At 35.1% G+C, this 26,909-nt stretch overlaps 1 long non-coding RNA gene across 1 annotated transcript in view, besides 1 other annotated feature; it reads left to right on the forward strand.

The window, feature by feature from the left end:
- Positions 1-26,909, forward strand: part of LOC105377862 (uncharacterized) — a 322,839-nt gene that overhangs the window by 89,125 nt on the left and 206,805 nt on the right. The window lies entirely within an intron of this gene.
- Positions 12,121-12,693: an enhancer, noted in NCBI's record as "OCT4-NANOG-H3K27ac-H3K4me1 hESC enhancer chr6:77585912-77586484 (GRCh37/hg19 assembly coordinates)". NCBI's record gives its function as "activates a minimal SCP1, AML or CMV promoter by ChIP-STARR-seq in naive H9 embryonic stem cells {active_cell/tissue: H9 hESC(naive)}" and the evidence as "EXISTENCE:reporter gene assay evidence [ECO:0000049][PMID:30033119]".

Consider the following 26,909-nt stretch of genomic DNA (forward strand, 5'->3'; position numbering starts at 1 on the left):
AGCCTCTATTTGGAGCCCTTACAGTTTACAACTTGCAGCATCCCAACTTGTGTTGTTAGTCAGAGATATTTTATCTTCCTATGACCTATATCTCTGGGAGAAGGAGTTCATGACAAACTTTGAATGCCAGGAAAGGAGGCAAAGAGAAAAGACAGTGTTTGTAATCCTGCACTATGCATTGCATTTTATGTTATTTGAAAAAAAATTTTTGGTTACCCTGAATGTCTAGATAGATCAAATATATCTTACACAGATCTGATTAGTCTCTACCGGCTTTTCAAATAAGACTCATAATCCCCTTGCTATTATAAAATTGGCCTTATTATGTTCAAAGAGTACTGAAGCCCGTCCCAACCTTGAGCTCTCTTTCAGAGTATTTTCTGTTAACTTGGTTTAAGAATTTGCTGTGTCCAAATCCTAGTTCCCAAATTTCTGCCCTGCCTACCCGGGAGAGAGCAGGTATGAATGTCCTTCTTAAACAGTTAGCTGTATGTGTTATATTTAAAATTCTTCATGTGATTTTAAGACTTTTTCAAGTTTCTTATATTACTGCAGCCAACAGTGGAGGTCATGTTGAAAGAAATGACAGAGGAGGATGTTTTGATTCTTTTCCATTTCTGTTAGCAGCAGCTACAGCACTGGAACATGAGATAGAAGCTCATTGAACCATGCTAATCAACTGAGGAAGGCTTCTTCTTCTATAATTATCTTTCTTATTGGTCAAAATTACCTGCTCTCTCTATAAAAGTCCTAGCATATGAGGAATGGAAAGCCATTCTTTTTTAGTGACAGCATGTTTTATTGTGCTCTTATTTTGAAATATCATCCTTCCTAAAAATAGGTAAAGTATTGAAATTTTTCTGGTTGAGATGATTTTGTAAGCACAAGTGCTTAATAGTCTGCCTTCTAGTTTCCTATGAAAATTTCTAGCAAAATTTGAATAAACAGAAAATATATAAAAATTATAAGAAATACTCAAAATCTTAAAGGCATTTGTCTCTCTAGGGTGAGATTATTGTGAGTTTCACCTTCCTTTTATTTTATTTTGAAAATTTTCTACTTTCATAAAAATAAGACAAGTCCTCTTAATGCTAACACATGGATTTAAAAATCATTAGGAAGTGGAGAAAATAATTGCAACCAATTAGATAGAACCAATATACTCATATTGTTAATACATAAAAATACTAGAACAAATCATCAAAAAGTATGGATACCTTATTCAAAACTGTATAAAAAATAGGACTTCATAGGGAAATAACAACTATAAATGGGTATATTTTCAACCTCAGGTACAATACAATGCTAATTAAAATAAAGTGATGTATTATTTATTATTTTTCAAAAATTATTTTCAAAATTTTAAAAATTTGTACCCAGTATTGTGGGGATGCGACAAATTGTCATACTTGAACTGTAGTATAAATTGATCATAGTTTTTGGGAGGAAAACTAGGCAAACTATCAAAAGACTTAAAAGTGATCATAAACATTGCCCAATAGATAAAACCCTACGATTTTATTCTAAAAAGGTAATTAGAAAAACATACAAGAATAAACCTAGACACATTTGCATTAACTACAAAAATGTACCAACCTTCTTGGTTTTTAAGACATGAGTATTAAATAAAATATAATAATGATTTGATAGATTTATTTAATCAATAAAAATATTGTTTTAAGACACGTGGTGTGGAAAATATTCGCAACATGATAAAAAGTGAAAAAAATAAAAAAGTAAACATTACTATGTATCGTATGATTGAATTTTAGGGGTGTTTATTCAAAGAGACAGAAAAAGAAAAGACTGAAACATTACATACAGTTTTCTATGAGTGATGATATGGATTTACGGATAATTTTGTATATACTATAGAGATAATACAAAGAGTTGCATTGTGAAGTCAGAGGAACATAAAATCAGAAGTTTTACCCAATGTCAAACTCAGGCGGTTGTGAAGCACAGACCAAGCATGAAAAGTCCAGGATTGTCAACACAGATCCCTTTTATCTTGCTGTTCTAGTAGGTGCTCTAATGTAGATTTAATATATGAGGCATTTAAAGGCTATATATGGTCATCACTTACACAAAAGGGAACTGGTTTAATCACGAAAACATCTCCATTTTGTTCTCCAATATTTACAAAGCTTATGTGACATTTTCCAGGGAGCCATACTTCATAAGTCAATAGAATCCAGGATTTTTCCTATAATTAATATTACACAGACCTGGCACATCCTGCCGAAACCATTCCATAAATGTGGACAATCTCCTAGTCACTATGATATTAGTGTGTTTGCCAAAAGATTTGCAGTTGGCTTGCTTACAAGGAGATTCTTCTCGTTTTCTTTTATTTGTTTTATGAGACATTCACCAGTAAAGGACAGGAATAGATTGCATGCCTGCTACAAACTCTTTCTACAATACAAATAATTATTTAAAATTTTTTCCAGTGATAGGCACTGTAATAAGTATTTCATATATAGACTCTCATTTACCGCTCATAATAATCCTGTGGTGGAGGTGCTAGTATTTATCTCTATTGGAGATGAAGAAGCTGATACTTGTAATGATTCATTATTTCTCACATGATCACAAAGCTAAAATGTTTTGGAGCTGGAAGTCAAACACAGTCTGATCCCAAATTGACATTCTTGGCCATTGTGGTCACTGTTCAGTTTATTTATTTGAAAAGATTCCATGGCATATTTCTATTTCTGTGAAGATGAAGTACATGTATGTTTCCTATTCTTCTAGCCAAACACAACTAAAAACTATGGACGTTATATATAAAAGAAATGTTAAGAATCCTCTGAAATTTGGAGAGAAGGCTGATCAGCTAGGGATCTTTGGATTCAAAGAACGACATGATGGTGAATTTTCTCAGTTTTATGTTTGCCCCATATATCCAAGACTGGGTGCTGGAAAAGCCAGCAACCTACATAGGTCAATGGATACAGACAAAAAAAGCCTGAACAATATTTTGCTCTCTAGCTGAGGACCAAAACTTGTAAAAACAGCCACTCTATTCCAGCCAAACATCACAGGAAAAACTGTAGCCTCATTATCGAACACATTAGCAAAGGCTAAGTGGATAGCCACATTTCCACCAGCATCAGATTAAAATAAGGTTGTCCAACGACAATATTGGGGTGGGGTCAGAGAAGCCTGAATAGAGGGCCTGGATTTATCCTCACAAGGATGAAAACCCTCCTCACTTTGGTGTCAGTGGAGACCACATGGAGTTCTTGAATTTCCATCTCTAAAAGGTAGCAACAACTGCCTCTTTCCCTAATGCCCCACAACACAAACACTGTTGGGATGAGGTCAGAGGTGGTCGAATAGAGAATCAGGTATCTCTTCACTATTCAACGATAATAAGACTGCCACTCACTCCACTTCCTCAGAGTCAGTTTAGGCCTTATGAGAAGGAGCAACAAGACACCCTCAGCTATCCCAACCAGGATGGCATTGTGGAAGCCCAGTAGGAAGTTAAAAGACTCCCCACCAGTCTCTCTCTCTCTCTCTCTCTCTCTCTCTCTGTCTCTCTCTCTCTCCTGGTAGCAATTTAAAGCCCCCAACTTGGGTGTAAACAGAGGTCAAGTGTTGAATCTGGACTTATAACTTCACGTGGCAATAACAAGGGGCAATGACAATCCTCTGCCATAATGGTATCAGAAAAGCCAGTTAAAATAGGTTTTAAACTGACCAAGAGTTTCACAATATGCTACCAATAATGTTGAGGTTACCACTGAAAATCCTTTATTATACTAAGAATGAGGAAAACCTAAATCTGAATGAGAAAAAAAAAATCAACTGAAGCTAACACTGAGATGACAAAGACATTAGAATTACCTGAAAAGTATTTTAAAGAAGCTATCATAAAAATGCTTTAGTGAGCAACTAACACATTTTAAAAAACTGAAAAAATAGAAGGTCACAGCAAATATATAAAAGATAGAAAGTCAAATTAAATGGGAAATTTTGCAACTGAAAAATGCAATAAATTAAATTTATAAAGTCAATGGATGGGCTCAAGAGCAGAAAGGAGGGAACAAAGGAGAGAATCAGTAAACTTGAAAACAAAATAATACAAATTATCCAATTCGAACAACACAGAAAGTAGAGTGGAACAAAAAACAAAGTCTCAGGGACCTATGGGTATATAGCAAATATTTAACATTTGTGTCAGTGGAATACTAAAATGAAAGGAAAGAAAAAGGAGGTTAAGGCTGAAAAATCATTCAAATAATTAATGGTTTTAAAGTTCCCAAATTTAGCAAAAGAAATAAACCCAGAGATTCAAGAGACTAAGTGAACCTCAAATAATACAAATGCAAGAATTTCACACCCATGCACATCACAGACAAACTTGTGAAAATAACAAAGAAAAATCTTAAGAGCAGCCAAAGAGTCACAATCTTACCTATAATAAAAAAATAATTTCAATAGCATCAGATTTCCTATCAGGACTCCTGGAGGCCAGAATGAAGTGGCACAACATTTTGCAAGTGCTGAAAGTAAACATCTAACCCAGAATCTTATGTCTAGTAAAATTATATTTAGGAATAAAGGGGATATCAAGACATTCTCAGATGAGAAAAGCTAGATAATTTGTAATCAATCAGGCTTACTATAAAGAAATGATTAAATGAAGTTTTAAAAATGAAAATAACATTATAATAGAAGACATTTTGAAACATTAAGAAAGAAAAGCAACCAATGGAAGGAGAAAAAATAAGAACAAATACATTATCCCTTTTTTCTGAGTCTTATGTTTGGCAGTTGAAACAAAATCTATAACACGGTATGATGTGGTTCTAAATGTATGTAGAAAAATATTTAAGCCAATTACATTATAAAGGGCGGAGGGAAAAGAGACGCAAATGGAGATTTATAAAAGGTTCAAGGGTTATAAAAGGTTTTCACAATTCATTTGAACCGACAAAATGATAAAACCAGTCAACAAGAATGTTATGTAATACCCAAAAAAGACAAAAATGCCATAAAAAGAAATAGCTTAAGTGTACTATAAATAAGTCAAAATGCAATTCTAAAAAAAAGTTCAAGGGATCAGTGGGGAGGCAGGGAAAAACAACAACAACAGAGAAATAAAAACCAGTGAGAACAAACAGAAAACATCCAAAAGAAAAAAAAAATGATGGGGTTAAGCCATAACATATCAAGAAGTATATTACATGTGAATAGTCTAAATAACACCAATTAAAATATGAAGTTAATTACAAAATATGATCTAAATATGTACTATTAGAAGTTCTGTTGAATATAGTGAAATATATAAGTCAACAGTAAAAGAATAAAAAAAAATATATTGTGACCCAGTGCGGTAGCTCTTGCCTGTAATCTCAGTATTTTGGGAGGCCAAGGCAGGAGGATTGCTTGAGGTCAGGAGTTCGAGACCAGCCTGGCCAACACGGCGAAAACCTGTCTTTACTAAAAATACAACAATTAGCTGAGCTTGGTGGCACATGCCTGTAATCCCAGCTACTTGGAAGGCTGAGGCATGAGAATCACTTGAACGTGGGAGGTGGAGGTTGCAGTGAGCCGAAATCACACCACTGTACTCCAGTCTGGGTGAGACAGCCAGACCCTGTCTCAAAAAAATGAAAAAAGATATACTGCCCAAACATTAAACAAAAAGAAAGAGACTATATCAATGTCAGATTAACTAGACTTCAGAACAAAGAAAATAACAAAAGACAGAGAAGGATGTTATATAATGATAAAAGAGTCGATCCTCCCATAGAAATTCAAAATGTTAATGCACCAATTAACAGAGCTTCAAAATATGTGAAGAAAAACTGAATGAACTGAAGGAAAAAGTAGAGGAAACCAACAATTACATTTCAAGACTTCAATACCTTACTTTGTAATTGATAGAACTAGTAGACAGTAAATCTTACTAATATACTTATAGCAGATGTAGATATATTTGTCTTATATATCTCTCATATATATGTATTTTTCATATAATATATCATATGTATCATATATGACATATATCTCATAAAAATATAATATATAATATGTCATATATCATGTATATTTATGATACCTATGAGATATGTGTGACATATTATATAAGGTATATATATAGAAGATATAGATATAAGACAACTCAACAACACTATCAACCAACAGGATCTAATTGATATTTATAGAACACTTCACCCAACAACAGCAGAATAGAGCCTTTCTAGTGTCCACACAATGTGTCAGAAAAACCACCACATTCTGGTGTATAAAAAAAGGCTCAAAAAATTTAAAATAATTGAAATCATTTAGAATTGTATTTTTTTCATTTATTTGCGACTCAAATAAAAATAAACTAGATATCAATAGCAACAACAAAAAAAAAATACAGAAAAATATGTAAAAACTGGAAACTAAACAATATACTTACAAATAATCCACATGTCAAAGAAGTCCCAAGGGAAATCAATTTTAAAATACATTGAAAATGAAATTATTAATGCAATATACCAAATTTGTGTGGCAAAGTTATGGCAGTGCTGAGAGGAAAATGTATAGAATTAAATGCACAGATTAGAAAAAAGAAAATAAACTTAAATCAAGGATCTAAGACTCCATATTAAAAACTTAGAAAAAAAAAGATCAAAATAAAGGCAAAGAAAGAAGAAAGGTAATAAAAATAAAAGCAGAAATCAATAAAATTGAAAACAGATAAATAATAGAGAAAATCAATAAAACAAGAAGTTCGTTATTTGAAAGTAAAGTAAGGTTGACAATTTCTAGAAAGACTGACAAATAAGAGATAAGACACAAATTGCCAATATTAGAAATGAAACGGGATATCTAGAGCCTGCAGACATCAATATGATAAGAAATGATACTACCAAAAAAAAAAACTCTATACCTAAAATTAGAACACTTAGATAAGCATCAATTAGTTCCTTAAAAACACAAATAGCTACAATTCTCCCAATATAGCAATTTGAATAGTTCTAAAACTATTAAAGACCCACAAATGTTACATTTATAATTTAAAACCACTCCCAAAGGAAATATAGCCAAGCTATTTCATTGGAAAATTCAACCAACAGCTTAAAGAAGAATTTCTGTACAATTTCTTTCAGAAAAAAGAAAAGGAGAGAGCATTTTCCAATTCATTTTATGAAGCTATTAATGCACTGATTCCAAAGCAAAGTCAGTACGGAAGAAGAAAATTGCAGACCGATGTCCTTCATAAATATAGACTCAAAACTAACAAAAATAGAAGAAATAGAATTCAGCAATAAATAAAAAGAATTATACACCAAGATCAAGTAGATCTTATTTTAGGGATGCAAAAATGCTTCAATATTTGAAAATCAATGAATATAAGCCACCATATTAATAGGCTAAATATTTTTTTGAAAATCACATTATTGTATCAATTCATGCAGAAACAATACATTTCACTTAATGCAATACTTTTTTAGAAACAAAATAGAAACAAAACTCTCAGAAAAATAAGAATAGAGAAAACCTCTTCAACTTGATAAAAATATGTAAAAAATATTACAGCTAACATTATATTTAATGGTGAAAGAATGTATGCTTTACTTCTAAGATGAGAAGCCAGGAAAAGTATCTGTTCTCACTACCTTTTTCAACATAGTACTGGAAATTCAAGCATGGGAAATAAGGCAATAAAATAAAATAAAATGCATATATCAATAGATTTAAAATGAAGAAAAAATGATCTCTACTTGCAGATGACATGATTGTTTAGGTAGAAAATCCCAAGAAATCTTTAAAATATTTCCGAGAGCTAATAACTAGGTTCAGCAAGACTTCAGGAACACAAGGTAAAAATACAAAAATTAATAGTATTTCTATATTCTAGCAATGAACATGTGGACAGTGAATTTAAAAATAAAAATAGCATTTACAATCTTAAAAATAAAATTAACTCATAAAAATAAATTGAGATTGATGTATTTTTGAAGAGAGAGATACTTGACATTAGATTCAATTTTTTTTTAACTTTTGTTTTAGGTTTGGGGGTACAACTGAAGTGTGCTACATAGGTAAACATGTGTCACGAGGGGGTTGTTGTACATCCTATTTTATCACCCAGGTATAAAGCCCAGTACCAAATAGTTATCTTTTCTGCTCCTTTCCCCCCTTCCACCCTCCACCCTCAAGTAGAACCCAGTGTCCATTGTTTCCTTCTTTGTGTTCATAAGTTCTTATTATTTAGCTCCCACTCGTAAGTGAGAATGTGTGGTGTTTGGTTTTCTGTTCTTGCATTAGTTTGCTGAGCATAATAGCCTCCAGCTCCATCCATGTTCCCACAAAAGACATGATCTGGTTCTTTTTTTATGGCTGCACAGTATTCTATGGTATATATGTATCTTTTCTTTATCTCATCTGTCATCGATGGACACTTAGGTTGACACCACGTCTTTGCTATTGTGAAAAGTGCTGCAATGAACATTTGCATACATGTATCTTTATGGTAGAATGATTTATATTCCTCTGGGTATATACCCAATAAAGGGATTGTTGGATAGAATGGTAGTTCCGTTTTCAGCTCTTTGAGGAATCATCATACTGCTTTTCAATGGTTGAACTAATTTACACTCCCACCAACAGTGTGTGAGTGTTCCCTTTTCTCTGCAATCTTGTGAGCATCTGTTATTTTTTGACGTTTTAATAGCCATTCTGATTGGTGTGGGATGATATCTCATTATGGTTTTGATTTGCATTTCTGTAATGATCAGTGATATTGAGCTTTTTTCATATGCTTATTGGCTGAATGTATGTTTTCTTTTGAAAAATGTCTGTTCATGTTCTTTGCCCATCTTTCAATGGGGTTGTTAGTTTTTCTTTTGTAAATTTTTCTAAGTTCCTTATAGATGTTGGATATTAGATCTTTGTCAGATGCATAGTTTGCAAAAATTTTCTCCCATTCTGTAGGTTGTCTGTTCACTCTGATGATAGTTTCTTTTACTGTGCAGAATCTCTTGGACACAGCTCAGGTATTGTTAGGAAGGAAATTCATAGCACTAAATGCCCACATCAAAAAATTAGAAACAGCTCAAATTAAACCTAACTTCAAAATGGAAAGAATTAGAGAAACAAGAACAAATCAACTCCAAGGCTAGCAGAAGACAATAAATAACACAAATCAGATCTGAACTGGAGGAAATCAAGACCCACAAAAAATTCAAAAGAGCAATGGATTCAGGAGCTGGTTTTTAGAAAAAATTAATAAAATAGACTACTAGCTAGATTAATAAAGAAGAAAAGAGATAAGTCCCAAAGAAACACAACTTCTTAGATGAATTTTATTGGTTCATTCGGCTTTTCTATTACTTCTGGAGTCCATTTCAGAAATTTGCATTTTCTAATACATTTTTCACTTTATATAATTTTAAAATGTGTTTACACAAATATTTTTCAATTTATGATTTTAAAAATTTCTATCCTGTTTTCATCTGTTCCCTTTTGTCAAGTTTTTATTTGTGTAATTTCTCTTATTTTCTTAGTCTTCATTTTTTTATATTGCTAGTTTTATTTTAGGAATATTTATGTCATAGGCTTATGCTTTTTTTTAAGTTTTATATTGCTAAATGCTTGATGCAAAGGAAATGTGCCAAAGCCAAAATTTACAAATTCAAATAAACTAGAAATAATTATTTCTTGATATTTAACATAATTGTTTTTCTACCAAAATACAAACATTTTTTCTTTACCCAAATTCAAACAGACTGTGTAATATATTATTTACTTTTTAAATTAATGTTTTCAAATTTTCAACATTTCTTATTTTGTATAGTGTCTACTCATATTTAATTTTTCTGGTATTTTCTTCAGTAGTATCTCTCTAAAGAATTATTTGTTTACTCATTATGTTTATTTTACAGTAAATCTTTGAGTAGACTTATAATTGATGTTTTAAAATTTTTATCTGGTATTTTCACATCTCTGCCATTTGGGATCTATTCTATTAACTAATTATTTTGTAACTAATGATCATACTTTACTGTTTCTTTGAATGTCTAGTAATTTTTTATTAGATATGGGACATTGTTAATATTACATTGATGAGTATCTTGGTTCTGTTTTCTCTGTGTAGACAGTGTTGAAATTCATTTTAAGAAGGTGTTAAACTACTTGTAGATTATCTTCATCGCATCAAGCCTCATTTGTGAGATTTAATAGAGCAGGCCCAGGGTAGCCTTTGCCTTTGAGTAGGTTAGCCCTACTTACCAGAGTGTGAACCTCTGGTATCATTAGGTGTTACAAGCATTAAACTACATGTTTCCACCTTGGTCCACTAGAAATTAAATATCCACCAGCCCTGTATGAGCTGTAGGGCCCATTTAGCTCACAGGTCCCCAGTCACACCTTGCCTGTCATTATAAACTTTCATTCAATATATATGTGGCACTGTAACCCTTAGGCAGATTTCTAGAGCTTTTTCTCAGCATATATCCCTCCCTTCTGGTGTTGCGCTACATACATCATCTTAGCCTTCAAACACTTTATCTTTGTTTTCTCAAATTAGTGAGGCTAGCATTCTCTGCTTAGATTGCCTCTCTCTATGTTGAGGCCTGAAAAGTGCTTCAAAGGATAAAATCAGTCTTATTTTAGGATTTACATTGTTTTACTTCTCTCAGGTAGGATACTCCAGTGTTGCATGCTGTCCAAAGCCTGAAAAAAATATTTTTATATATTTGGCTTAGTATTCTAGTTGTTTATGGAAGAAGAATCTAATACCAAATCTAATATTATGGCCATATGCAGAATTTCAGAGGTTATTATTTTAATAAAATAAGATTAAATACTAATAAAATTATTAGCAATGTGCTTGCTTCTTATCTCATTAGTGTAAAATTATTAATCAGTGTTTTTATGGCAAGAAAAATTGACTCATTTTTTTCAGTATAAAGATCTTGAAAAGTGAGAAGAGACTTTATGAAGCCTAAATGGAGAGCCCTGAAATTTTACATATAATTTTATTTTTATTCCTAATATGGATATATGCAGATTTAGAGCTACGTATTCTGATATATCAGTCTGAGTTCCTTCAGGAGGTAGAATCTCCATAGTAGATTAAACAGGGAAAAGTTAATATAAATAATTATTTAACTATAATAAAAAATTAACTATATGATATAAGAAAACTCAATATGGTACCCTAGGGATAAGGGAGAGTACCCTAGGAAGTACAAACTTCGAAGATATTCAGAACTTGCTGGAGAAGGTGTAATTCCAAGCACTAGCTAACAGTTTTGCCGGTTTGGCCAGGCTGGAGTTGGTTTCCAGTCTTTGGGTGAGCAGAAAGTAAGCGCAGCTAGGGAGGAGAGGGGTTGGAGCCTTTCCAGAACACAGGCAAGATGTGCAGGCTCTAAGAGGGAGCAAAGTCTCACTGGACACCTCCTGGAGGGAAGAAAGGTCGACTGTGAGTGGGATTGCCCTAGGAATATGGGTGCCGTCATGGGCGAGATGTCCTTGAGTGTGTAGTGGGGAGTAGGTTTGTTAATGGTTTGGATAGGAAGCCTTTGGGTGATGGTTTTGGAATGAGAGGGCAGCTGTAAGGTTATTGCCAAGTTAAATATCAAGGTTACTGACGAACCATGCACTTCGGGACGTCGCTCTGGCGCAGAACTCCACTGAATGTTCTTACACCCATAGGGCTAACCCATGAAGCTCTAAACTTCCCTTCTCGCTTCATTTCATTCATTTCATCTTCCATCACTGATACCCTTTTTTCCAGTTGATCGCATCGGCTCCTGAGGCTTCTGCATTCTTCACGTAGTTCTTGAGCCTTGGTTTTCAGCTCCATCAGCTCCTTTAATCACTTCTCTGTATTGGTTATTCTAGTTATACATTCTTCTAAATTTTTTTCAAAGTTTTCAACTTCTTTGCCTTTGGTTTGAATGTCCTCCCGTAGCTCAGAGTAATTTGATCATCTGAAGCCTTCCTCTCTCAGCTCATCAAAATCATTCTCCATCCAGCTTTGTTCCGTTGCTGGTGAGGAACTGCGTTCCTTTGGAGGAGGAGAGGCGCTCTGCGTTTTAGAGTTTCCAGTTTTTCTGTTCTGTTTTTTCCCCATCTTTGTGGTTTTATCTACTTTTGGTCTTTGATGATGGTGATGTACAGATGGGTTTCTGGTGTGGATGTCCTTTCTGTTTGTTAGTTTTCCTTCTAACAGACAGGACCCTCAGCTGCAGGTCTGTTGGAATACACTGCCGTGTGAGGTGTCAGTCTGCCCCTGCTGGGGGGTGCCTCCCAGTTAGGCTGCTCGGGGGTCAGGGGTCAGGGACCCACTTGAGGAGGCAATCTGCCCGTTCTCAGATCTCCAGCTGCGTGCTGGGAGAACCACTGCTCTCTTCAAAGCTGTCAGACAGGGACATTTAAGTCTGCAGAGGTTACTGCTGTCTTTTTGTTTGTCTGTGCCCTGCCCCCAGAGGTGGAGCCTACAGAGGCAGGCAGGCCTCCTTGAGCTGTGGTGGGCTCCACCCAGTTTGAGCTTCCCGGCTGGCTGCTTTGTTTACCTAAGCAAGCCTGGGCAATGGCGGGCGCCCCTCCCCCAGCCTCGCTGCCGCCTTGCAGTTTGATCGCAGACTGCTGTGCTAGCAATCAGCGAGATTCCGTGGGCGTAGGACCCTCCGAGCCAGGTGTGGGATATAGTCTCGTGGTGCGCCGTTTTTTAAGCCGGTCTGAAAAGCGCAATATTCGGGTGGGAGTGACCCGATTTTCCAGGTGCGTCCATCACCCCTTTCTTTGACTCGGAAAGGGAACTCCCTGACCCCTTGCGCTTCCCAGGTGAGGCAATGCCTCGCCCTGCTTCGGCTTGCGCACGGTGCGTGCACCCACTGGCCTGCGCCCACTGTCTGGCACTCCCTAGTGAGATGAACCCGGTACCTCAGATGGAAATGCAGAAATCACCCGTCTTCTGCGTAGCTCACGCTGGGAGCTGTAGACCGGAGCTGTTCCTATTTGGCCATCTTGGCTCCTCCCCCATGAAGCTGTAGACAAAAAGAGCAGGAGTGTCCCTTCTTCCTGCCATATCCCACCAGCGACCCCTACTGAGAAAGTTTAACATCGCGCATACTGTAAAGAAGAGATGTTTGAGTTTCTTCTATTATTGCAGGACAAATATTGAAAGGTAAATTGGGATCTGAGAGTCAATACACTTATAACTGAAATACCTGGCTATTTATTGAATATGTAGGTCAAAAATATACTCTTTTCATACCAAAATAAATTGCGAGATCTATGACCTTGACTGGTGGTGTTTAGGCTACCACATTAAAAATGAGACCTACATTTACCCACCAGAAGGCTATCATTTCATATTTATCAAGTTTCTATTATAAATTAGGTTATAACATATGATATTTTAAACTATATAATCCTTTAAACAGCAGCTATAAACTTTCAACATAGATTTTTTTCTGTTAAATTCATTAGAGTAGTGTTTTTGTGTGTGTGTGTTTCAGTTCTTTTCTTTTTTAGCTTAAAATTTTCTCACCCTAAAATAAACAAATCAATTTCCAAAATTTCATAGAATTCGATAATTATGTTTGTGGGTCCCAAAATTAATTTGCTTTTTTTAAAAAAATTGAGGATCATGAGAAAGGAATATTATTTTTCATGTCGATGCCTCAAGTTGCCTTTTGAGCCTTTGCCCAAGATCCATTTAAGTAGGATTCAGCAAAGGCACAGAATAAGGTGGTCCAGTTTTGAAACAGGCAATATAAAGAATCATAAGGAACTCCTCAGAATAGGAAATAATTTTTTATGCAACAGATAAAATAGCTTTAAAAAAAGGCATTATTTGGTACATTTAAACTGTGAGTCATGTTTAAGTATCTATATCTTATGTATAAAACATATAATTTTATATTTTGTATAAAATTACTTGAAATCTATATTTCATTTGACATTGCTTGAAGATGTGTTCTTTATGTACTATTTCTACCAAGAGTTTAATTCAACATACTGAAGCTCATGTTTGATATATACTATAACTATTGCTCAGATGATATAAAATTCTAGCAAATTAAAAGAAAAATCACTCTTACAGCCCCAAAACTGTTATTCCAGACTGGACTTCTTTTACCTTCTGTTTTGGTAGTTACATTTCTCACTTGTAACATAAATCTCTAATTCCTTTAGACAGGTCATTAGCTTCAACACAGATAGCATTATTAGGATAATTTATCAACCATCCAAGCCAAAGGGAAGTGAAAATTTGTAAGAAATGGGGCAGAATTAGGGATGAAGAGCAGGTCTGATGAAAATTGATCTGGAGGGTGAAAAACTTCTAGAAATTTTAATTTATCAAATTAAAATTAGATTTGAAGACTTTTCCTAAACCTAAAGAAAATGCAAGGAAAACATAATCACTGGCATTACTGGAAATAACTGAAATTACTCACTGTAGTCATAAAATGAAAGTTTCTTAACACTGACCATCTAAAGCAAATTCCTTTCAATGGAAATGTTCATTGAGATGAATGGAATTTTTCAATAGACTATTTGTAGTCTAAATCTAGTAATTCTTCAGAAATGTATGATCTAATAAGTAAGTGCTGTTTCCTTATAGCCAATAGTTTTCATTTGTTCTATTTGTGTGTGTGTGTGTGTGTGTGTGTGTGTGAGAGAGAGAGAGAGAGAGAGATATTGCATCTAATGTGTAACATTTACTGATGATCCTGCTGTTGTGTGACTTGTGTGGTTTTGGGCTATGAAATCTTAGCAGGACCATCACTGTCCATCCTGTGTGCACACCATTTAGAAAGCCAGTGCCCCATTGGGCACTGTAATCACATTAGAATCACAATTAATTATTTAGCCATGTATGGATAATAAAAAAATACTCCAGGCACTTTTTTTGTGTGTCATATGCTTATATCACTTAAGATTTGACAATTCAGAAGACACTTGGTTTATGTGATATGAAATCTAATTGCTTTTATTGAAGGAAATAAAACTATTGAGTAATGCAAGGGGCAATTGTTTTGGGGCACCATACCTGGAAACATACGTTTAAAATAAAGGCATAAGCTGGGTTTGTTTGCTCATTTTGTCTCGCAGTTGACAAAGGAAATGCTAACTTTGCATCCCATCAGTTCTTCTGGGAAAGAGCTGTTCTTATAAATGCTGTACCTAGATGGACATCAATAAATATGTATGAGTTATGAATGAATGAATGAATATCTCTTTTGAATCATATTTGACTTCTTTCTCCATAGCAGTAGGGATAATTTTATACTGATTCATTTACAATGTCACACATGTCTTGTGACCAATTGTTTACACTTAAATATACAGCAAGGTTTGAGATTTATTCTATTATCTGGATTGCAGTGAATTCAATATCTTGGGGGCCATTTGACCTCATAACAAACTTAAACAAGATTTTTAAAGGCACTTTTTAAACACTCAGGATATCTAGGCATTTCGCAAGGATTAATTTCATTAATCCATACAAAAAAACATGATATAAGTACTGTTATTACTATACACATAAAAACAAATGTACAAAATTGAAGAAGCTTTTGACAACAACACAGCTGGTATTGTGGTGAATCATGTATATGACCTGAATGGTCTGACTCCAGCATCTGCACATTAAATACTCCATGGTATTGCCTTCTTGGAGATTGCTTCAGAGAACAGGCCATGTGCCCTCTTCTGAAAAGAATTGCCTCATAAAGTGCCATATGTCAACATTTGTGGATTTTAATAACAATTTGGTTATCTCTCTACCTTTCATCTGTATTCATTCATCTTTTAAAACTTCGGATTCCATAAATTGTAGCTATGTAACACTTTTGCGGACTTTTAGAAACTCAATGTTCTGTGTGAAGCAAGAATTAAAACATCTCCATTCCTATCTGGGCGAACTCTAGGTAGAAGGTAGAATCTTTGTGACTGGATTATTAGAAGAAACAGTTTTGTTTTTTCTTTTCTTCTTTCCTTTTTTTTTTTTTTTTTTTTTGAGATGGAGTTTCACTCTTGTTGCCCAGGCTGGAGTGCAATGGCATGATCTTGGCTCACCGCAACCCCTGCATCCCTGGTTCAAGCGATTCTCCTGCCTGAGGTTCCCGAGTAGCTAGGATTACAGGCATGCACCACCACGCCTGGCTAATTTTGTATTTTTAGTAGAGACGGGCTTTCTCCATGTTGGTCAGGCTGGTCTCGAACTCCTGACCTCCAGTGATCTGCCGGCCTCGGCCTCCCAAAGTGCTGGGATTACAGGTGTGAGCCACCATGCCCAGCCTGAAGAAACAGTTTTAAGCAACGTCGTGTCTCTGTAATTCAGTGAAATTTGAAATGAATACAGAGAATATTTCTACACTTAAGCAGAAGAAAGAAAGATACCGTTAAAAAACAGAACAACAACCTAAATGGATTCAGATGGGTAAATAGATAGGTAGGCAGATAGATAAATGGAAGTTGAGAGAGAGAAAGGACCCAAGTTTGATAAGTATTTAGGCACAAAGAAAGGAGAATAGAAGGTGGAGGGTGGTTTGTGGCAAGTCAAAAAGGGGAACAAAGTATTTGTGTTCTAAAAATTTTTTCTCTCCAGATTGCTGAACATATTTATTTTTGGTCTTTATTCATGAATTTTAATTCAAGGTGCCCAGATTCCTGGAGCCTTTAAAGAGCATAATGTCTATCCTTCAATAAGAGAAAGCCTGTGGTTTCTATTTCTGGTTGTGAACCTGAGGAAGTTACATTGCTGGCCATGTTTCCGTGTGAAAACTAGTGATTTAGAAACATTCTGAAAACCTCAGCAAGAGTCATCAGAACCACACTAATTACCAGATTGACCCTTCTGATTTTCTTTTGCCTTAAGATCCAACTTATTGCAGTAGAATACCCTCCTACTCCCAGCCTCAGGGAGGAGACTACTTCCCCCAAAACTTAGCATGGTACTTCTGTGCACGGCAGCTTCTTCACATGGGCAGTCACACATTTGGAGAATTACTGGGCTCAGAATTGAAGGGAATTTTAAAGTCCCACTGAACCAACTCACTTTTAAGTACCATACTCAGTCCCTGGCCCATGCTAAAGGCTGTCTTGACATGTCTTGGCTGTCTTCCTCACTCCTGAACTGAGGGAGGACTTTTCGTCTTTGGGAGAGCTCTGATTTCTTGGAAAGATTTTCTCTCATTACATAGAAATCTGTACTGCTGTGAGTTTCACTCACCAGTCCTAGTTTAGTCCTCAGCTACATAAGGTAATCCTAATTTTTCTTCCATTCACCAGGTGTTCAAATATTGAAAAGGAGATATTAGTATCATTTGATAAGCATTAATTGAGGACCTTCCATGCGCCAGACACTGCAGTAAGGACTAAGAGCTTAAAAATAAAGAAAACACAATCCTTTCCTGAAAGGTATCTTGGGGTAAGGTAGGAGGGGGAAAAGTGACCCACAATAAAAATACAGCCTGGGCCTGAGCAAGTGTCACTTGTCAGAGGGCTTCTAAGAAGAAGGAATGCTTGAGTGGAATTGCAGAAAGCAGATGATCTATTTGGACAAAAATGTTAACGTCAGATAAGCTACTCTGAGCAAGAACATGCAGTCATGAGAACATCTGGATTAAAGTGGTTAATTGTAGTTTTCCTCATTGAGAGAAAATAAGTTTAGGGAAAGGTCTGATTATAGGAGAAGGCAATAACTTGACTTTGCTCTATAGGCATGAGCAGTCTTTAAATGGTTAAAAGCAGAGAGAAGTGACACAATGAAATCTGCCTTTAAATTTCATTTAATTTGATCGCATAGCCATGCCTTATCCTTTTTGGATTAGATATACTCAGTTCTTTAACCACTTCCCAAATGACACCATCTGTCCTTTCACCATTTAGCCACTCTTTTTGGAAAAAAAAGTCTTTATATAAATAGTCTGGAAAATCAAATCCCTGCAAGGGGTAGGGAAATATAAGAAATGTGTACAATAGTTGTAAATGAGACACTAGAGAGTGGTCAAGTTCATGGGAAATTGAATGCCTGTATTGCCTAAAGTTATTAATGTTTCCACTTTTTCATTCTCTTTTGGCTGAGTAAATCCAGTGTGGGCTGGATTTCACTGGGCCTGCTATCTAATAATAATTTTTGATATAATTTTTCTAAAGCCAAAGTCTCAGAACTTGACACAATATTCTTATTATGGTCTGTGCAACACAGATTAAAAGCAGAGATCACCTCCTTTACACTCATCTATGTTTCTATTAATCTGGCCCACTGTTTAATGAACACTATACTTTCATGTTGTGCCATGCTATTTTTTCATTTCTCTCGCAGCACCATATCTTCCCATACTCTGCTGGAACAGTTCATTTTCTCGGTTAGAATTCAGTAACCCAGTATTAATGGGGAAAACATCTAACTTGTAGTAAGAAGACCTGGCCTCCAGTTTTGATTCTGCTGTATATAGGCTGTTTGATCCTCAAAAAAAAAAAGGGCGAGTTGCTCTATGAGACGCCTCATTTTTAAAAGGTTATCTGGTGCCTTCCTTGAGTCACCAAATGTAATTGTTGTATGAGTGAAATAATAACATGTTTTGTAAGTGGTTTATAAATTGTGAAGTGGGTCACAAATATTTCTAATTTCACTTATTTTTCCTGGTTAAATCTCCCCTATTTGATTTAGCTAACACTCCTGCTTGCCTTAAAAAAAAAAAAACAAAACCTCCCTCTTCCACCTTTCCCTTAGTGAAACAAAGTAATTTGCTGACCCTGTGAATTGATTTTTTGGCTGCTATCATTTACATACCACACACATTCTGAATCGTCTGGGTATAAAAAGTGATTTTTTTAAACAAGAGGTGCTATTTGTTCATTTTCAGTTTTATTTACAGAAATGTTAACAATTCCTGAATATGAAATGTTGCAAAACAATTTTGCCGATTCATTTCTGACTTAATTGAAATTCTCTTTTTAATTATCTTTATAACGTAAACCTATATATGTTCAGTGTAGAGGATTTGCTTTGTTTTTGTTTTTGTTCTTCATAGGAAATATAAGAAAGAAAAATGCCTTTTGTCATGCAGATATATGGAATTAAGTATAATTACAGAATATTCCAATTGAAGTGAATATACTAACATTATTATGAAATATTCAGCATTGTCTTAGGGTTCTAGCATAAATTTATTTCTTATATCTTTAAGATGAGTTTCCCATTCTTGTCATATCATAAAGAGAATGCTACTAAAGGAATCTAGAATAAATATGATATTTCTCGAAAACATTATTTTATGAGTTTTCTATTCTTACAGTTTCATTTCACGTTAGAATAAAATGGAAATTTATCAAATAAGACTGTCATAAAGGTTCATTTGATACCCAAAATGATATAACACAGTAAAGGGGAAAATATACATTTGATTATTGATGCTAGTATTTTGGATTGTTCCCTGGTTTATACAGACAGCAGTTGTCTTTTATATTATCTTTATTTTAAAATGCCCCATAGGAAATATTGAAGTTGAATCATGAATAATTATATATTTTAAGCATGCAATGTCTAATTTCAAGTCAATTTGAGAGGATAAAAAGTTTAAATCATATAAGTAGGTTAAAATAAATGTTATTCTCGATTTTAAACCACTGAGGATTTAAATAATGCAACTTCCAAGGCCTAAAGAAAGGAATGACTTCCTGGCTACCTTTCTAAATTCACATATTTGTTATACATTTAAGGTAAAAGGTAAGAAAGAGATTTCTGTGCAATTCCTACTTTAAAAAAAAACAACTATTTCTACATAATGCCTCTCAATTATTTATTTACATACTCATTCAACAAAGAATTAACAAACACCTATTATGTGCCAGGCGCTCTGCCAGGCACTGCAGACCTTCCCATGAGCAAGACACACTTTTTTTCCTCATGAGCTTCTTTTCTGGCTAGGGAGATTGGCATTAAACAATCCTCATTTCATTGTGATTGTGATAACGCCATGGAAGAGAATCTAAAGAGTGCTACATAAATGTAAATTAGGCAGACTCGACCTTGTTTGAAGAGACCTTTGAGCTGGAATTAATGAAGGTGAGAGGTGAAGAAGCAATAGTCTTGATGTGGGGATGAACATGATAAATATGAAGAACCAAACAAAGCCAATGTGGCTGAGGTCAGAGTCCACATGGGGAGGATGGCATGAAAATGCATTTGTTTTGCTAATCTAAGTCTTAACTTAGTTCCACTCTGGGTCGGCTCTGCACAAGGTCCTAGAAATAGACTGATTATTAACATAGTCCATGGCAGAAATATGTCAAAACATAAATCATTTTTAAGACAGCAATAACTTCTATTTCTGGCAGTTTGGTGGAATAGATATATTCAGTTACCCTCTTGTGTGAAACAATTAAAATATTGAGCTGACCTGGCACAACAAAATAAGAAAAACTCAAAATTGAAAAAAGATATCAGATTGACAACCTCGGAAGATAAATTAGTCTTTCATTTTGATGGCTTCATGGAGTAAAGACATAAATAAAGACTAGGATGCTGGCATGATTCGGGGTTGGGGATCTAAAAACAAACTCCTGCATAGGTGCTAGCAGGCTATACCCTCAGTGTAAGATGATGTAACCCCTGCCAAGTGGAGAAATAGAGCCTGATATGGCTTTGAGTTGTGCTGAGGAGATCTATATTGAGCATCAATAACACTGAATATCTTTCAAGAGCTGTGTTCTGAATTCACACACCCAGAGTAGACTGATCAGCCTCAAGCTAATAATTTAATTGCAAATTGTTCTGAATCAGAGGTTGCTCCAGAGACTGACTGAAGAAAGCCCAGAGTCTTTCTGAGGAATTCAACTTCAACTCACATCTCAACAAATTCTCATAAACAAGGTTGAAAGAAAAATGCTTCATTTATAGTCAAAAATCACAAAACAGGCTGGGCGCCGTGGCTCACACTTGTAATCCCAGCACTTTGGGAGGCCGAGACGGGTGGATCACCTGAGGTCAGGAGTTCAAGACCAGCCTGACCAACATGGAGAAACCCCGTCTCTACTAAAAATGTAAAATTAGCCAGGCGTGGTGGTGCATACCTGTAATCCCAGCTACTAGGGAGCTTGAGACAGGAGGCGGAGGTTGCGGTGAGCTGAGATCATGCCATTGCACTCCAGCCTGGGCAAAAAGAGCGAAACTCCACCTCAAAAAAAAAAAAAAGAAAATCACAAAACAAGTTCCTAAGAGTGAGATCCAGCAGAAACAACACAGGGCTGAAACAGACCCACAGAGACTTCAGATATTAGAATTACCAGACAAGAAATATAAAATTATTATGCTAAATATTCTTAGAGAACTAAAAAGAATGAAAATGTTACCAGAGAACAAGGGACCACAGAAAGAAACAAAAATGACCAATCAGATTTGAGAAAGGAACAACACAACACTACTAGAAATGATGTATATGGTAATTGAAATTAAAAACCGCATGGACAAATTAAACCAGTAAATAGACCCAACTAAAGGAGGGAGGAGAGGCAGGCCAAAGTGTTGCTACACAGTTTGACATAGGTGTATCTGTCTCTCTCCATCTTTACATGTTTGTCTCTCTTGCCCTTGACCTAGTCTTGCATGGTTCTATCCTGTCTGGCATTGGCTTTTCCTTGGGCCGAGGAAGCTGCTTTTGCACTCAGGCTGAGTTGTTGAAGTAGGGATGGTTCTGCCACAGTTCTGCTCTGCTTTGAGGTGCATGGGTGAGTGCTACCAGTCTCTGGTTACCATCAAGAACGTGAGCCGTTGTTGTCCCTGGGTGACAACTGAGTAGCAGAACTAAACGAGTCCTGTGGAGAGCTGCCCTCCTCTCCTGCTTAAGTAAGAGGAGAATTTTCACCCTATATAACCTGACAGGAATTTTTCCTCACAGGGTTTTGAACAGACAGATCCATGACCCATGGGACAGAGAACTGTGACTGACTGCTGACTCACTGTGATGTTTTTATGTACACAGTGGCCCAAATGCATTTCATGCTCTATTCTGTGCTGAGCTATTTTGAAAATCTGAATAAATAGGGCCTCTGTGGGAGATTTTAGGATCCTAGAAAATAGCATTTTGAATTATTACCTGCTTTTATAATGTTCATGAGTTAATGTTTCCCAAAGGATCTAAATGTTTCTCAATACGTATTTTCTGCCAAGTTGGAAACTGTTCTTGCATTGTTGTATTTTCTTTGGCCAGAAAGATTCTGGAGGCAATTTGAAACCAATGCTTATATCCAGAGACCAGACTAAGACCACCAAGTATTTAAGAAACCTGACTTTAACCAGCAAATGCCCATTTAATCCCTTGAAGATCGTATGGGATTTTTTTCAATTAATTTCTAAGCTAATTTACTAATAATGCTATAATAAAGCCAGCCCATATCCAAAAAGGGGAGAATAATTTGTCAATTTTTTTATTCATGCTCTGTGTGTAGTTTAACTGACCGGTACAATTATAAGTTGCTTATTTTTCAATGTGGATTTTTTTAATATGTAGAATTATTGATAGGCTTGTTTCAAGAGAGCCTAGGCACATGCGATTCTAATCATGAGGGTCTATGCTTGCCTGACTATGGATATGTTTGAAGGTCAAAATGCAGTTAAGCATAAGAAATATCATTAAGTGTTGGTCAATACAAAGCTTAAATCAGGTACTAGCAGTGACTCAAAGAAACACTCCAGCCTTAAATTGCTCAAATAACTGACAATCTAATAATAGAAATATTTAAAATACATGTGATTAGTTGTAGGTTTTAAAATATCATTTTAAGATTTTCTTCATGTATTCAACTTTGTTATATTTAGTTCATCTTTCCATTCTTCTCCTTTCACCATGGGTCCATTGAATATCTGACCACTTCCAGATATTAGCAAGATCACATAAGCAGAAGGTGAGGCAGAATCTCATGTTATTAGGCCAGGAAGAAGTGCATGTGTCTTTACGTTATCTTGTGTTAGGTGCTTTGCCACCCGCCCTCATCCCCAGCCTCCTGAAGGAACCCATGGGAGACCTGCTTATAGGGAATGCAGTCCTTGAAGAGGGGCCAACTGGCAGCTTGTTCACGGAAACAGATAATCTATTCAAGCAGCAAAAATCTTGATTGATCTACTTGCCCTTCATTACACCCTTACACCATCTGCCTCTGCCAAGAGATCAAAGAGTCATGAAAAAAGAAGGAGTTGGAGTGTAAAGTTGTCCTAAGTATTGGGGAGCCTGCTTTCTAAAAGAAGGAATAAGCCTGTTAGACCCACTTGTAGAAGACAAGGAGAGCCAAAGAGGAGTTATAAACAGGGAGACCTGAATTTAAATATAAAAAATTAGACATTTCCCATGATAGAAGCTTTCTATTTAGCCCGCCTAGAAATTAAGTAAACCACATTTGCCTAGAGGTATTGAACTAGGATCTGAGTTATCATATGATAGGAATACTACAGAAGGCATCTTAATACTAGGTAGAAGATGGAACTGGATAAACTTCTAATTTATTAGGTAGAAGATGGGACTGATAAAGTTCTAAATTTAAAGTTCTACGATATTATTTTTTAAAAATAATATTTTTATCTGCCATTATCAAAGTCAAAAACAAAAGACAAGGAAGAAAATAAAAAATGTCCATAAAAATCACATCCCTTAAAAAACAGTATTGTTACAATTGCTGTGTATCATTCTACACTTTTCCCCCTGTGCATTTCACTGATGTAGAAACTCCACATACAAAAACTCATTTCAATAAAAATGGATTTTTATGACATTAAGCTTAATTTTTTACTTAAAATATAATATATGTCTTTCTTGATCAACAAATGAGCTCCACATCAAATAATTTAAATAATGCATAGAATTTCATGTGGTGAAACAAACTATTTATTTGCTGTTTTTAAACTTTGTTTTCTATCTGCATTTTCCTGCAGTTTACAAATAACTATAGGATCAACATTTTTTACAAGAAAATAATCTTGCACATTTTTGTAAGTTGTAAGTGGTTTAATTTGTTTTCCCCAAATCATAAAACATAATTTCATAATTTGGTCCTTATCGAGTAAAATGAAATTCTTTTTTAATGACTAAGGGACACACATGAAGGCAAATAGTACCAACCCATTTCGGGTTGGCAGATGCTATAAAAGGGAAGACTATTTTCTTTACCTTCTAATTAATTGCCTGTGAGTTAGATATTTTTCAGAACCCCATGTTACCTTGTATTTAATACCACCACTATCCCTTTTAGCTAAATGTACTGAAAAGAGAAGAAGATGCAGTGTCTAGGAATTTAGTATTATTCTCAAATGGCATTGAATCTAAAATGGAAAGCTTTTTTTTGAACAGATATATTACATTTCTGTCCCCTTCACTAAATCCTGGCCAATCTGGAGGATGTGTAACAGGAAAGTATATATGTAGCACAAGGAAAAAATCAATAAACTGGGGACTTGGAATTGATTTTACTTTGCTACATTTCTAGGAAAAAGCCAGATCATTGGCAATAGTCCTGAAAGAGAGTGTCTTAGCTCCTTTGTGTTGCTGCAAAGGAATGCCTGAGGCTGGGTAATTTATAAGGAAAAGAGGTTTATTTGGCTCATGATTCTGAAGGCTGTGCAAGAAGCATAGTGCCAGCATCTGTTTCTGGTGAGGGTGTCAGGCTGCTTCCACTCATGAAGCCAGTGCATGCACAGACCACATAGCAAAAAAGAAAGCCAAGAAGGAGAGAAGGGAGGTGACACACTGTTTTTAATAAATAGCTCTCGCAAGAACTAAGAGAGTGAGAACTCATTCATTACCATTAGGATGGCACCAACCCATTCATAAGGGATCCACCCCCATGACGAAAACACCTCCCATTGGGCCCCACCTCTAACACTAGCGATCCAATTACAACATGAGATTTGGGAGAGTCAAACAAACTAAACTATAGCAGAGGGACTTTACATTAAAATATGTATCCTACTAAAATTATATAATATTTGCAATATTCTTAATTCTTGTAAAATAATTCAATGTAAAGGCTTGAAGCAATTTACAAAATCTAAATTCATTCAATGTTTGCTTTGTAAGGATGAACTGAAGAGATATTTGTTATGCTGTTTTTTTTATGCTGCTGTATTTTTTCTAAAATTCTCTCTAGAATACAGCATACTGTTTTTTAAGGATCTTTCCTAGTTTTTCTGTTTTAGTTTTAATTATGTCTTTTATCTATATCTGTATGTTACTTCCCTAAACTGTACCATTCCCTTTTATTCCTTTCAAAAACTGCTTTTTATCTTTCTATAGTCAAAGAATATGATTTTACTTCACAGTTTGATATATTTCCTCTGGCCATTTTTAATAACCTGGTGAAATAATACCTCTTTATAATTAGGACATAAATAATTTATTTATTTAAACATTCTGATAAAAATAGACCTACAGGTAGGTACCAGGTGGACTAAGCAAAATGTTGATAATAAAGACCCAAGAGTGCTTATTTTGGTGACCATAGGCAAGTTTTATACTTTTCAAATGTCAAAGGTGTTAATTAATTTTACTCTTTCCAAGATAGAAAATAATGCTTACGGAAGGTTCATTGCTTGTTACAAATTAATGCTACATAGGAATTAATACCAGGAAAAATGAATACACATAAGGGAAAGAAAAGCTTGATTAACTACACAGATGGATATGTGGAGCACAGAGATGAAATGAGGGTTTAGGAGTTACCACTGCACTAAGAGTTGCCCTTTCCCCTTATGCTTACAACGTTAGCACAGACAAAGCCTTCTCTTGAATTATTTTACCTTAGCAAATTACTACTTTCAATTGTATATGCAAAGCTTGCTTATTGCTTTCTGTTCTGTCTGCACATCTTTGCATTCTGTTCTTGTTCTGTCCCGCAGGATTAGTAGCCAGGTTATTCTTTCAGTCAAATCATGACCCTAGTGTAGGTTTGTTACCATCATGTTAAACAGCCTTCATGTCACGGTATGAAAAATTCTTGATCCAAACTTTGCTTTTCACTCATGCTAGTTGTCATATGAAAAATACCTTCAGCTGCAAATAAGAAAAAAACCTGTAACAGTAGCTTAAACAAATAATGAGTTTGTTGATTTCCACTATTTTCACCATGCATGCTCTTCTTTCACAGGATTGTTGCTTCATAGTCCCAAATGGCTGCTACAGTTTTGGACATCACATCTACATTTTAATCACTAGCCCTTAGATAATTACCCACTATCTTCGTAGAACTCACCTCATTTCATTATTTTTAGTTCTAAATAGCCATTTATTTCATATCATTTATTTCATGCCATTATTTCTGTCATTATGCCAGACTTTGCCCTTCTTCTCAGATTAAAATCATTTCTACATAAACAGGCATAAAAATGTCTGACAACTTTATAACATTTTGTCGTTTATACTTTCTAAATGCTAGACATCATAATTCTAAAGATAGTGCTATTAGTTGATTTTTATTTTTACATAGATACACCTACAGCTTTTTCAAAGTACTGAAATAGTAAAACAGAAAGGATCCCAAAGTAATTATTTCTTCAAGCATGAAGATACAGTTAGGCATCTTAACTGATGTAAGTCTGTGTACATATACATTTTTAGGCATCACTGTTATTACAGTGCTAATTTCTAGGAGGACAAGTTCTTTTCATATTTAACACTTTATCTTCAGCAACTAAAACCTCCTGGCATATTGTAAGTCTTATAAAAATGAATAAATGTATCATTTTTCATTTATGCTTTGCATGATCATTTTTTGCATATTTTATTTGTTTGGTTTACGAATTTATGTATTACATAGTTCAAAGGGCCATTTATTTTTACTTCTGAAGTCCTGATATTCATTAATAGACTTATTTCCTAAAGGGATATCTAACCACTGTGGACAAAAAACATTAAATTTCAAGGTTTTCCTGACTTTGAAACATTATG

This window comes from Homo sapiens, chromosome 6 (genome assembly GCF_000001405.40).
Source record: "Homo sapiens chromosome 6, GRCh38.p14 Primary Assembly".
Classification (NCBI taxonomy): domain Eukaryota; kingdom Metazoa; phylum Chordata; class Mammalia; order Primates; family Hominidae; genus Homo; species Homo sapiens.